The sequence below is a fragment of the Homo sapiens genome, chromosome 16 (assembly GCF_000001405.40).
Source record: "Homo sapiens chromosome 16, GRCh38.p14 Primary Assembly".
NCBI classification, from domain to species: domain Eukaryota; kingdom Metazoa; phylum Chordata; class Mammalia; order Primates; family Hominidae; genus Homo; species Homo sapiens.
This window is the reverse complement of record NC_000016.10, coordinates 55,558,632-55,573,464: the sequence shown is the minus strand read 5'-3', so window position 1 is coordinate 55,573,464 and position 14,833 is coordinate 55,558,632. Positions and strand designations below refer to the sequence as shown.

The window sequence follows — 14,833 nt, the reverse complement described above, 5'->3', positions numbered from 1 at the left end:
GGCTGTTTCCTTTGTGTAACAATGTATTCTCATTCCGAGGCACAGAGACAGGGGCTAAGAAAAAAAAAAACAAAAAAACAAACACAACTTTTTCTCATCTACCGTTACCTACTACTCTAGGTTCATAGAACTTCCACTTTAAAACACTAAGGCAAGAATTCTTTGCTGGAGTTTCATGGATGAATTTGGGGAAGGAAGGGCTGTGAAGCCCCTGAAATGGTATGCAATTTTTATGACATCTTTCTAGAGAAAAATGTAGCTTTTATTAGCTTCTCAAAGCAACCAAAACTTAAAAAGTTAAGAATCATTTTCACCATATTACTTTATCTTACTGCAGGGCGGAAACTAAAAGGAGTAATAATTTAATCTCGTTTTCTCACCAGAGAAGGTAGAAACAGAGGTTTCAAGATTTCCCTAAAGGAACAAGGTTTATTCCTGAAACAAACATTCAGGTCATCTGACTTTCTTTTGTCTGATTACCAGTCTGTCAGAGAGCTGTTTTTGTTTTGTTTTGTTTTTTGTTTTTCCTTTTCTTTAATCAGCTTTATTTGTGTTGATTACATTTACATTCAACCAAATGCATCCATTTTAAATGTACGGTTTGATTTGTTTTTTGGTCTTTGGTTTTTTTAAAGATATGCTCTTACTCTCTTGCCCAGGCCGGAGTGCAGTGGCTATCCATAGGCATGACCATAAGCGCACTACAGGCTTGAACTCCTTGTCTCAAGAGATCCTTCCACTTCATCCTCCAAAGGAGCTGTAACTACAGGCGTGTGCCACCACACCCAGCTTAGTTTGATGTGTTTTGACAAATGTATACACCATGGTAACCAGCGCCAATATCTACATTTCATCACTCCAGATGTTTCAGAGAAGGCAGAGTATTAAAGGAAATCATTTCCTTCTTTGCCACCACCATTTAATTTTCTAATGCACTCTGGAGGGCTGTTTTTACTGAACCTTAGAGGTTGAGGAGCTTCTTGAACCATGGCTTTATTGCTCAACATAGATACATTTCTTCTGCAATTAGCTTTTTCCACTAAGCAACATAGAAGTCTTAAATAGAAATTCTTAAGAACAGATCCAAGAATGATTTCTGGACACTGAAGTTACTATCATAGATTGTCTGTATAATTGGAAATACCCCTTTGAATTTATGTTGTATCTTTATTGTGAGATATCCAGTTTTTATCTATACTACCAAACCCTATGTGTAACACTTGTCAGGAAGCATCATTAAGTCATTTTGCAGATGGAGAAATAGAAATGTGACAAACTCTTAACATTACCACTAGTCACAGAACAAGGTAACATTCTGGACCCCTAATTTCATTAACATACGAGTGGTTTTGAATGACAAAGAATCTTGATGATCACAAGAGAGGGTATATGAATCTTTTCATCCTAGTAATATGAAGGAAAAAGCAGCATGGAAATTACTCTGAGAGATTATATTATTGGATTAGTAAATCAATATACTGTTAAGATTCCAAATTCAGAATAACAAAATTTAGAACTGGAAGGAATCTTATAAATCATCCATTCAACTTCTTCATTTTACCAATGAAAAAAATGAGACAAAAGTTTCTCTTGAGGTCACAAAACTCACTATTGCCATAGCTGCAATTAAAATTTAGATAATCTGGCTGCTTACTAAAGCAAATAGCTTGATAAAATGTACCCCAAAACAGATAAAAATTATACAGCAAAATATACTATTTTTTTAATTCTTAAATGTCAAATCAGTATCATGATAAGAATTATTGCACAATCTTTGGTTCTTTTCTTTAAAACCTACTGAGGTCCCCAGGAAGAATTATAAACTTAATAAAAAAAAATCCAGACTTGAAGATATTTCAGGGCCACATTTCAAAGGAGACCAGCTCTTTGGAGGGAGGCCGTAATCCCTCCATAACCTGTCCTAATCTGGAGCCCAGAGAAGTCCAGAGTTAGAACTAAGGAGTTACATTGGGTAAGTACAAATAGAAAAGATAATGGTCTCATGGAAACTCCAGACAGTGGGCCCCATCCCTTTCCTGGAAGTCAGCAGGATCAGAAAAGCATGGAAGTGTGTGTGAGGGGAGGTCACTGTGAGCTCATGGCCCCCCAGCACCTTTCATCTGCTTAGTCACACAACACCAGCTTTCAGGGCCAGCAGGAAGCTCTAGGCTACTTGTTCAAATATTGTCCACTTAAAACTCTTGAAAAAATAAGTGGTGATTCTCATGTGTCTGATTCTCAGGTATCAGTTCCTTCCAGTTGTTTCATAGTTGAATTTATTCAACATCTTTATTCATGTGGAATTAGATACTCTTTATAACTTTTTATGTTTAGTAAAATTTAAGGATATGGTTTTGAATACATTTTGCAATGATAAACTCCCAAGAAGAGGGACTATTTTTCCTTCTGATGTTATAACTGAAATATATCATCCCTGTAAATGAGAGATAATCAGTGTTGTCAAAATAATTTTAAAACGTTTACATAAAACAGAATTTACTTGGCAGCAACCAACAGAAAAAAGTCTTCACATCGTCAGAGATACTCTATAAATCCAAAGGAGTATTATTATTAAAATACAGTAAATTCTGAGCTGTACAGAAGAGTACAGGAAGAAGTATTCGATTTAACTGAATATTCTAAGAGCATATTTCTACCCATATACATAATTGAATCAGTTTCTAGGAATAAAATTGTTTTAATATACTTAAATATTTTTAAAAAGCAATTCTGAAGGTTCTTCAAGATCAGTAGGCACATTAGATATCCATACTTTGTAAGTGCCTCCACAAATATTTTTTAAGTCCCCACTATACGGGTAGTTGTTTAATACTACTGATAAGATTTTTTTAAATAATTGTTTTTTCAAGACAGGGTCTCCCTATGTCACTCAGGCTGGACCCCCCGGGCTCAAGCGATCCTCCGCCTCAGCCTCCCAAGTAGCAGGGACTACAGGTGTGCGCCAACTTGCTTGGCTAGTTGTGGGGATTTTTTAAATTTTTTTGTTGAAACGGGGTTTTGCCATGTTGCCCAGGCTAGTCTTGAACTACTGGGCTCAAAGCAATCAGCCCACCTCAGCCTCCCAAAGTGCTAAGATTACAGGCATGAGCCACCATGCCTAGCCAGTACTGATAAGATTTCTGACTGGGGTAGCTAGATAAACCAACTTTTAAAAACACATGCACCGCTACCCAAAAATATTTTTAAAGTGACCTTTAAGATCACATAAAAATTTTGAATGTTTCTGGTAGTTTGCTGTTCATAGTTACAGAGCACATGATTCTTTTTCCTTTTTTATAGGTTATAAAATTTAGTGGATTATATCAAGATAAAGTTACTTTTCAAAATCACATGGGATCTTTTGAAATTTAAAAATGTAGATGTATAATTTCACATATTTTTATCACTGAGTATGATTTTCAATTTACATTGATTAAATTACTTAATGTCAGAAATTTAAGAATAATGGCATGGAGTTATATGAATTATATAAATCTTAGGCTATAAATAGTCTTGCATATAGAGCAGGCAAATTTTTAAAAAGGTGTCAAGTTAAATATTGCTTCTAACATTAAAAATGTGCCTTTAAAACATCAAATATTGAATGAAAACTAAGAAATTCAATCACTTGCTAGGCTATTGGTTCTACACAATGCTAAATATTTGGTTACTTGGAAAAAGTCCAGATTTTTTAGTTCTAGTATCCACTCTGATGTCTGAGGTTACTTATACAAATTCAGAAGAGAAAAGGAGAGAAACTTAGGTAATTTCAGGGTGTTTTTCCATGAGCATGCTGGAAGAGAATTGTAAAAGTAGGTAATCCCTCAACTTGAGAAGCAAGGGCAATAATACCACTCCTAGTGTGAGATGATTGTTTTAACTTTTATGAAACATTTACAATAAAGTGAGGAACAAAAATGTGGTTACATTGTTCTTTCCACAACCATCCTATGGAAAGGTTAAATTATAAACCTAATATTCTGAGAATTTAAAAGATGTCTGGCAGCTTTCCCCTTTCTTGGCTACTTTACTACATCCATGCCTAACATATTCCTGGACTTATTCTAAAATAGAGAGATTGTTATTAATGTGTGGTTGCTGGCAGCAGCCTCCTTCTTATGTAACCACACCTGGTCTAAGTAGCACACCAGACCAAGGTTAAATTACAAGTCCCTTGAGGAAAGTGGATGTGATCTCTGTGCTTGGCTCAGTTCAGAATTATATGTGTGTGGTGTTTCATAAATATTGTATGATGGTGATGATGGTGAACACAAAGGTCAAAAGCCAACCTCTCCACATTTCACTGGGGATTTCTAACAGGAAGCTGAGGGATGTTAACAGGCTAGTTACATCATTTCCATAGTTACAACTTTCTTCTAAATGAGTCCAAAGAGGAAGGAAGAATTTATCTGCAAACTCGGGATGACCCTCCAAAGTAGCCTGGGATAGAGACAATGCATTAAAAATCAGAGAAGCAGAATGGGTAGAGACCAATTAAATAGCAGACAGAGGAACCAAGCACTTGCAAATGTAGCCTCTCTAGCTGTGTCTACTGGCACCGGAATCCTGGATTCTGTTTGCTCTGCTATATTAGCCTATTATCAAAATTATAAAGCCAAACCAAGGTCTGTACGCAAGAAAGGCACAACTACCCCAGCTTTTGGGTGGCATTTTCTTGGTATTTCTATCTTCCTTCTCCTGAATGCTGGCAACACTGACTCTCCTGCATGGCCTTAGTTTTGGCTGAGACAGGCTTGAAAAATACTGTGAGGTGGCCCTACTTCAAAGCAATCAAGGCTGTCAACCTTGGCTGATCATTAGAATCACTTGGGGAGCTTTAAACATATTCATCTCTGGGCCCCACCTCTAAAAAGTCTTATTTAACATATTTGGAGACTCAAGTATTAGTATTCCTAAAGAGCTCTCCCAGTGATTCCAAATTGCAGCCAGGGCTGAGAATAATTGCAATAGTCAGCAATATGTGTTCTCTATATTGGTTTACATTCCATTTAACTGATTACTGTTCATGTGTTTTTCTTTTTTTGTTTTTCTTTGTTTGCTGCTTATTTCCTGCCTGTAGTTTTCAAAGATGAACAAAAGAATTTTCCTTGCTCTAAGGCAGGACAAGACACGACAAGAGCTGGCTAACGTCAACAGGGCATGCCTGATTTTGTATGAAGTACGTGTAAGAGCAAACATTTTGATTCATTAAGGCAGCTAGAGACATTTTTGAACTATGAGCATATTGTTTTATTCCTCAATGTCTTTGACTCTCTTTACAAATGTATCAAAACAAAATTGCTAGTGCTTTTTTTTACTAAAGAAACAGAATTAAAGAACTTTAGAATTTTAGATAGTAGCTCCATCATTTAAAAAAATGCTACCCTTATATAAAACTGCTTAATTTCATTGTCTGAACCTGTTTCTTTATGGTTAAATAAGTTTCCTAAAAAGCACTTTTCATTTTTTTACATAATGGGAAAACCAGGTATAAAATTACAAGAAAAACAGATTTTGAACCTCTCTCCTCAACTTTTTAAAATGGAAAATGTATCTCCTGAGGGCTTTCTTGATTTATTCTAGGATTAAAAAAATTCATTCTTAACAACAATAACAACAATAATAAAGTTCCTACTCCTTGGAATTTATTCACTAAATAAGCAACACCTTTTAAAATCTACTCCATTAGAACTCTACCCCACAACCTCCCCACCATATATATGCAAGTCCATATAAATCCAAATCTCAAAAAGCTGATATACAAACCACTCAGAACATTTTTCGTGAAATATCTGTTTTAATTCAGCAGTAAAAGGCAGCACATGATCAGAAATATGTAGGGTTGTGAAAGAGCTTGCCAGGAAATGAGAGCTGTTGCACAGGGTATCAGCAACTGTGTACAGCTTGGCAAGGTTTTCAGTCCTGTCCTCCAGGGAGGATCTTGACTTCTCAGTTCCCACTTCAGGAATACATGGTCAACTGCAGCCATTCTTTGATAGACACTTGAATCAGGCCATCTCTATCTCTATCCAGAGACTTGAAGGCACGAAACATGGCATCCAGGCGGACCAAGCAGCTGATGAAATTGTTAAAATCCATATCTCCATCTTCATTAGCATACCGGCGGACAATCATTTGGTAAAGTTGTTCATTTAGCTGGAAGCCTGCGGCCTGCAGAGCTCCCCGCAGCTGAGAACTTCCCAGAGACCCAGAATGGTCCCTGTCATACTGCTTATAAACACACTGCCATTTCTTGATGTTGTTCCACAGATACTTAAATTCTTCAAAGCCCAGCTTACCAGTCGTGTCACTGTCCATGACAGACACAATGCTCCGGCAGGTGTCAAGACTAAAACCGTCAGTCTTAAGATCTTTGTGCTTAGAAAGGACTTTGTTGAGAATATTCATCAGATCAGTGGCACCCACCTCCATGTCTGGTCCAGCCAGCTGTGTAAATTGTTGCCGAAATCGCCTAACTTCCTCACTTTCTGAGGCCTCCACACTGGTGAAATGCTGCTGAGTGGGAGGCGGTTCTGGAGTATACTGAGCTGCTGCAGCCTCACTGATAAAATTCACAATTCCTCCAACTATCCCTCCAATATTTCTTCCTCCTCCTTCTCTTCTCTGACCACCTCCTCCAAAGAGGCCTCCAAGAGCTTCTCCAAGACCTCGATCTGCTCCTTCCAATAGAGCCTTTGCAAGAAACATGCTTTCAGTTTAACAAGCAAATGCGGCAGCAATCTTAGAGATGGTATGAAAAAAGATGAAATGGAGTTCAAGTAGTTTACATGTGGAAGAACTGGCTTTTCTTTACCTGCTTACACTGCACCACGCCCCATGATGTGATGTTTCACATCCTACTGAAGATACCTGAGTTCCATGAGGTCCTAGCACCTGCCATATTTTACAAGGCCTCAATAAAATTGTTTTCACTCTTCCAGATACTTATAAATTATAGTATGTAGGACACCTTAGGATAATAGTTTTAAAGAAAAAATATTAAAGTATGCATTTTTATGTCATTGATTTCTTAGTCCTCTGTCTCAGCACCTAAAAAATGATGTGCATTTTCCTAACAGGAAAAAGGTAAATGATGCAAGGAAATCAAAAATTTATTCTCTAAGAAATATTTATTGTTAGAATAGAATTGAAGAAATCTTGGGCATTGGAAGAATATTTAATCCTCTTCCTTTAGCAAAGATTCTCAAAATCCAGTAGTCTTAAGAAAAATTTAGAAGGGAGATTTTTAAAATGCAAGGTCCTGAATTTCCACTCCCAGAGATTCTGATTCCATAGGGCTGCTGTGGTGTCTGTGATCGACATTGCTAAAATCTTTTTTGAAATGTAACATTCATGTAAAAAATGTATCATATAAATCACAAATGGATAGCTCAAAGAATTTCACAGACTGCACACATCTCAGAGGCCTCTTCATACTTCTTTCTAGTTACTTCCGTCTTCCAAGGATAACCACTGTCCTGACATCTAACACCATAGATTTATTTTTGCACCTTAAATAAATTAAATCAGACAGTACAGACTCTTTCATTTATTCCTTTTTCATTATAAAAATGTTAAATGTTTTAAAATTGTGATAAAATACACATGCCATAAAATATACTATTTTAACCATTTTTAAGTATAGAGTTCAGTGGCATTAAGTATATTTGCATTGTGAAACCATCACCACCAGCTATCTTCAGAACTTTTTTCATCTGGCAAAACTGAAACTGTACCCATTAAAGAATAACTCCCATTCTCCCCTTCCCCCACCCCTGGTAACCATCTCTCTATTTTCTAGCTCTATGATTTGACTACTCTGCATGCCTTATATAAGTGGAATCATACAGTATTTGTTCTTTTGTGACTTGCTTATTTCAATGAGCATAATTTCTTCAAGATTCATCCATGTTGTATCATGTGTCAGAATTCCCTTCCTTTCTAATGATGAATAATATTGTATTGCATTAATATACTCATTTTGTTTTTCCATTATCCCATTGGTGAATACTTGGGTTGCCCTTTTGGCTATTGGGAATAATGCTGCTATGAACATGGGTATACAAATATTTGTTTGAGTCTTTGCTTTCAATTCTTTTGGGTATATACCAAGAAGTGGAATTGCTGAATCATATGATAATTCTATTTTTATCTTTTTAAGGAACTACCATACGCTTTTCCTTATTGACTGTACCACTTACATCCCCACCAGCAATACACAAGAGTTCCAATTACTCCATATGCTTGCAAACACTTGTTATTTTCTCTTTTGTTTTGTTTTCTAATAATAGCCATCCTAATGGCTGTAAAGTGGTATAACATTGTAGTTTTGATTTGCATTACCCTAATGATTAATGATGTTGAGCATCTTTTAATGTATTAATACTTACTGACCAAAGAAGATCTTTGGAAAAATGTCTATTTAAATCTTTTGGCCATTTTAAAATCTGGTTATTTGTTGGGTTTCTTGTTGTTGAGTTGCAGGAGTTCTTTAAATATTCTAGATATTAATCCCTTATCAGATATATAATTTGTAAATATTTTCTTTCATTCTGTAGGTTACCTTTCCACTCTGTTGTTAGTGTCCTTTGATGCACAAAAGTTTAAAATTTGTATGTGGTCATATTTATCTATTTTTCTTTGGCTGCCTGTGCTTTTGGCGTAATATTCAAGAAATCATTGAGAAATCCAGTGTCATGAAGCTTTTCCTCTGTTTTCACTGAAGAGTTTTATAGTTTCAGCTCTTATGTTTAGATCTTTGATCCATTTTGAGTTAACTTTTGTATATGTGTAAGTTAAGGGTCCAACTTCATTCTTTTGCATGTGGATATATAATTTTCCCAGCACTATTTGTTGAAAAGACCGTCCTTTCCCCATTGAATGGTTTTGGCATTCTTGCTGAAAATCATATGACCATATACACAAGGGTTTCTTCTGGGATCTCTATTCTATTCCATTGGCTTATATGTCTTTCTTGAAACCAGTGCTGCACTGTTTTGATTACTGTAGGTTTGAAGTAAGGTTTGAAATGAGGAAATGTCAGGCTTTCAACTTTGCTATTCTTTTTCAAGATTGTTTTGGCTATTCAGTGTCCCTTGAAATTCCCTATGAATTTTAGGATTGATTGTTCTATTTTTGTAAAGAAACATTGGGACTTTGAAAAGGATTGCTTTAAATCTGTAGATCACTGTGGGAAGTACTGACTCTTAATATTGTCTTCTAATCCATAAACATGGAATATCTTTCCATTTATTTGTCTCTTCTTCAATTTCTTTCAGCAGTGCTTTGTAGTTTTCAGTGTACAAGTCTTTAGCTTCCTTCTTGAAGTCTATTCCTAAGTATTTTAATTTTTTCTATGCCATTGTAATGGAATTGTTTTCTTAGTTTCCTTTTCAGAATTGTTCATTGTTGGTGTATAAAATGCAACTGATTTTTGTGTGTTGATTCATATCCTGTAACATTGCTAAGTCCCTTAATTAGTTCTGTGTTTTGTATGTGTGAGGGGTAATCTTTAGGGTTTTCTACAAATAAGATCATATCATTTGTTAACAGAGATAATTTTACTTCTTCCTTTCTATTTCATATGCCTCTTATTTCTTTTTCTTGCCTAACTGTTCTCGCGATGATTTCCAATACCATGTTAGTAGAAGCATGAGAGTGGGCATCCTAGTCTTATTCCTGATCTTAGAGGAAAAGCTTTCAGTCTTTTCATCACTGAACACAATGTTAGCTATCAACTTTTCATATATGGTGTTTATTATGTTGGGGCACTTTCCTTCTAGTTTGTTGTGTGATTTTATCAGGGAAGAGTACTGAATTTTGTCAAATGCATTTTCTGCATCTGTTAAGATGATCATGTGATTTTTCCCCTTCATTCTGAGAATATGCTGTGTTACATTAATTGATTTTCATATATTGAACCATCTTGCATTCCAGGAATAAATCCCACTTGATCATGGTGTATAATACTTTTAGTGTGCTGTTGAATTGTGTTTGCTAGTATTTTGTTGATTTTTGCATCCATGTTCATATGGCATATTGGTCTGTAGTTTTCTTCTCTCCAAGTGTTTTTATCTGACTTTGGCCTCATGGAATGAATCAGAAAGTATTCCCTCTTCTTTAATTATTTGGAAGAGTTTGAAAAGAACTGGTGTTAGTACTTCTTTCAATGTTTGGTGGAATTTTCCAGTGAAGCCAACTGGTCCTGGGCTTTTCTTTGTTGGGAGGTTTTTGGTTACTGATTCAATATCTTTGCTAGTTATAGGTCTATTCATATGTTTTACTTCTTCATGATTCAGTCTTGGTAGGTTGTGTAGGAATTTGACAATTTCATCTAGCTTATGCAATCTGTTGGCATACAGTTGTTCGTAGTACTCACTCATCATCCTTTTTATTTCTGTAAAATTGGTAGCAATGTCTTCTCTTTCATTTCTGGTTTTATGTGTCTAGCTTTTTCCCCCCTCAACAGTATATTTTTGAGATTTGATTTTATATTTTTAATAAGCATCTTCAGAAGTCAGTCTGTAACAGGTAGCCTGGATAATACTTTGAGAAATCCTACCTTTAATACTAGTTATAGTCAGAGTACAGGTCCTCCAGAGGTTATTGGAAGTTCTACTGGGGAACTTGGGGAAAAGTAGCTAGGACTTAATGATTAAGTCATTATATTACTTAGCATTTGGGGGTCTCAATTTCGAATCTACAAAATGATAATAATAATATCGCCCTTGCTTACTTCAAATGATTCAATCTGATTTATTATGTATCAGGACTTGGGCTCAGTACTTAGGTTACAAAGGTGAATAAAGCAGGATGGCTGTGCTCAAAAATCAAGTAGAACTACAGGAAACTGGTATAATTATAATATGAAGTCTGTGTTCACATTTCTACTATCAATACTAATCTATTATATTTGTATATATATGTTTTAGTATTTAGGTTTCATTGAATTCCTCTGAAAGATACAAATGTATTTTAGATAAGGTAAGAAAAATTCAGAAAAGTTAAGCTAGTTATCCAAGGTCACGCAGCTAGTACACTGTCCTATGATATCAAACAAGTATAGGCACACAAAAAGGGATCAATGAATTCTACTGAGGCAAAGGAAAGGAGAACATTTACCTATAGAAGAGATCATGTGTAGGCCTGACTACAGGCTGAGTCTCAGAGTTCTCCAAATAGATAAGGGATATAAAAGGACAGTCTAGCAAAAACACAGAAGAGCTAAAGGATATGAGGTATTCAAGAGATGGTGAATAGTACAATGAGATGAGACTCTATTGCTAGGAGTGATGAGAGATAAAGGGAGATCAATAAAATGGAATCAGATTGGAAGGGGGTTTGAACTGCTATGTGGCAGAGTCTCTCTCACAAGTAATTGTAGAAACTACTGACAGCTCAAATGTAAAGTCAAAAGGAGATTAGATGTGAAATTACTTTGGAAATTATGTAATTCTAGAACTGAATAATGATTATTCTAGCTATTATTAGGGAGAGAATAGTAGCCAAGGGACATCGCTCTGTCTAGGACATGAGAGCAATGTCCTGTCTTCTGCCACACTGAGTGGTTTGTGTAAAACTTTCCAACAACTGATTTTATTTCTCATAGGCACAATGAAATGGCCTCTGTGAACACCAAAAACCAAATGTCTTCTTTAACTACTCAGCAAAAGTATCACAAAAGAACTCTCTTCCTTTTAGGGAATCACAAGGGGCCATCTGGCTTTAGACAGATTTAAACCCATTCATATAAGCTTCTCTCAGAGAAAATTACATGAACTTTGTTTTTATAATATTGCAAATTAACTTGATAATATCGACTGTCATATAAAATGTGCCTCCTTGTGCCCATCTGAAGTGTTTTTTTGCTGTGGTTTAAATCCAATTCTTCTCATTTATTTTCCGTGAAGATGGAGGGCATTTGGCTAACAGTTTCTCATAAGCCATCATAGAATAAAAGACTATTATTAGATTAACAAGCTTTTTCTCCTCTGGATGATTTAATCCCCTATGGCTATTTATTAGAACATTAATAGCAACCTTAATTGCTGTCTGTGGGAACTCTACCATCCATATCTGCAAAAAAAAAAAAAAAGTATAGGAGGGGAAGAAGCCACATCTGATGGATAATTTAGTCCCAATTTGGGGAACAAAGTTATTAGACTTAAAAAGTACACAATGAGACACAATGTTATTAAAAACATTATTCAAAATAGTCCAAAAATGGAAACAACCTAAATGTTTACCAACTGGCAAATGGATAAGCAAAATACGATATATCCACATAAAAGAATACAATTTGGCAATAAAATGATGACTGATACATGCTACAAGATAGATAAACCTTAAAACATTATGCTAAGTGAAAGAAGCCAGACACAAAAGACATACATTATAGGATTCCATTTATATAAAATGTCCAGAAAAGGCAAATCTATACAGATAGAAAGTTGATTGGTGCTTGCCTAGGGCTAGGGGATAAGTAGGTGACAGGAACTAACAGTTAATGACATAAAAAATCATACTGGGGTGATGGGAATGTTCTAAAACTGCTTGAAAGTTGATGACTGCACAACTTGGTAAATTTACAAAAAAAAAATTATTGAATTGTATACTTGGGTGAATTAGGATATGTAAAATATGCCTCAAGAGAATTATTTTTTAAAAATAGTGACAGTTTGTAGTAAAAAAGAATACCAAACTAGGAATTCTAGTCTCAGTCCTGCAATTAACCAGCTGTGTGGCCTTGGGCATGTAACTTCCTCTCTTGAGCTGGCAATCTTCTGCAAAATGAAGAAGATGGGCAATTTGATACCCAAAGGTCTGTTTAGCTCTACAATTCTGTGAATCTAGATTTGTGACAGCAACATCATTCTTGTATTTAGTTTCCTTCTGGTGCCTATACCTTTTTATGCTATATGTTAATTTAATTTAATCTTTCTTTATCTGGGTCTGGTTCTACAACTTTTAAAGACATGCTCACTTACCCTTATTCCCACTTTGACATATTGTGTGGTGACTGCAACCTATTAAGTATGTTGCTTTCCAAACAGAATTCCAAGGGGAACTGAACCTCGTCTAGAATAACACAGAAGGACTCACAACTCCCACTTTAGATGAAGCCTTTCTGTCAAGTGGGGCCTTCATCTAACTGCAATATGATCTGGACCAGACCTTCCTAATTTGTTGATAAGAATGTCATGTTGGATGAAATCAAAAGCCTTTCTAGAGTCCATACAGATGAAATCTATTTGGTTTTCCTTATCATCTTGGACTGTCACTCTGTCATAGAGGGAATTTAAATTGGTCTGACACAATTTTCTTTTTACAAAGCCTTGTTCTTTACTTCCTTGTGCTCTTGGAGGAGGCCACTAATTACTCCCTTGCTCTAGTTTAAAAAGTTACATTTTAATTTTACAGTCTCCTTTCTGTTTCCTCTGTGCATCTCCCAAGTATACTTGCATTGAGAAGCCAAAAGTAAAGCATATAATTCTCATGTCTAAATGGACATTTTAGTTAACTACACTCAGACATAGAAAATACTGTGATGGACTAAATGGAGGAGCTAAGTGAACCTGAGAATTGAATAGGGAAATACTCAGACATATAGAACCAAACTTTCAAGGCAGCTTATACAACTGAATAGAAAAGTTTATGTGTCACACTCAGAAAGTTGTAGCCTTTTTTTTTTTTTTTTCAAATTGTATCATATAAGTTGTGGAATAGACTTCATATAGCAAATCCTGAGTAACTGGGATTGGAATCAAAATGGTTCTTTTCATGTGAATTATGAAATACTGTATTACATATAAAACGTTAACTGGAAACTTAAAATATAGAAGACTTTACTGTTTGTTTCCAGTCATTTAAGCCACCTAAGTGCCCTGTCCTAACTCTCAGCATGAGCAGAAAACCTGCACACTACAGCACCCTACATTCTGTAACAGGAAGGGGCAGGCAAGGATGTTTGTTATTATTGGCACTCAAGATTTAACACTTGAACTAATACCAAGAACAAGAACAGGGCAGACAGGAAAAACTTGGAATAAAGAAACACATTCATTCCACATAATGTGAAACAGTAATAAAACATCTACAGAAGTTTACAATAGCTAAGAAGGCTGGATTGCCAAAGTGCTAAAGTATACACAAACTTTTCCTGTCCAGTATTTAAACAAAGTACATAGTAATGCCAGAAGAACTAAGTACTTGTTAGGAGCAGAAATGGGAAAAATCATGACCATTGTTAAATTTCTTACAGAATGGAAATCATAATCACCTATCTAAATTTTACTAAGGAATAATCTATGATGCACATAATGGTGTTGGTAAAAAGAGAAAGTGAGCTAATGCCAGGCTACAGCTCAGAATTAGAAATCAATTTCCTCACTCTTTTCCTTTCATCTGTGAAGATGAATGATACACCACTACTTACAACTATGGGAGGATAGTAACAAGAGCTAGACAGATTAGTCAATAATAAAGAGTCTTAGTGATCCCTTTAAATCAGATGTAGAATACCCACAAATTAATAACAATCACTATAAGTCAGACTTATAGTGACTTGTAGTAATCCTTCAATCCAGTTCTTAAACCTATGAGCATGCTTTGTTTTCATCAGCTTAGGAAATACAGTAGGGACCAGCGAACTACAGCTGGTGGGCCAAATCCAATCTGGGCCTGTTTTGCAAATACAGTTTTATTGGGACATAGTCATGCTATTCATCTATGTATTTTTATGGCCATTTCTGCTCTATAATAGTGGAGATGAATAGTTGTAACAGACACCATGTGGTCTGCAAAGTCAAAACTATTTTCTATCTGGTCCTTTACA

General features: G+C 35.5%; 2 protein-coding genes across 4 annotated transcripts in view; both read right to left on the bottom strand.

The window, feature by feature from the left end:
- Positions 1 to 14,833, bottom strand: part of LPCAT2 (lysophosphatidylcholine acyltransferase 2) — a 77,595-nt gene that overhangs the window by 13,202 nt on the left and 49,560 nt on the right. The window lies entirely within an intron of this gene.
- On the bottom strand, positions 5,778 to 6,781 carry CAPNS2 (calpain small subunit 2). The gene has a single exon (NM_032330.3). The coding sequence runs from the start codon at positions 6,706 to 6,708 to the stop codon at positions 5,962 to 5,964; it is 747 nt and encodes a 248-aa protein (NP_115706.1). The 5' UTR covers positions 6,709 to 6,781; the 3' UTR covers positions 5,778 to 5,961.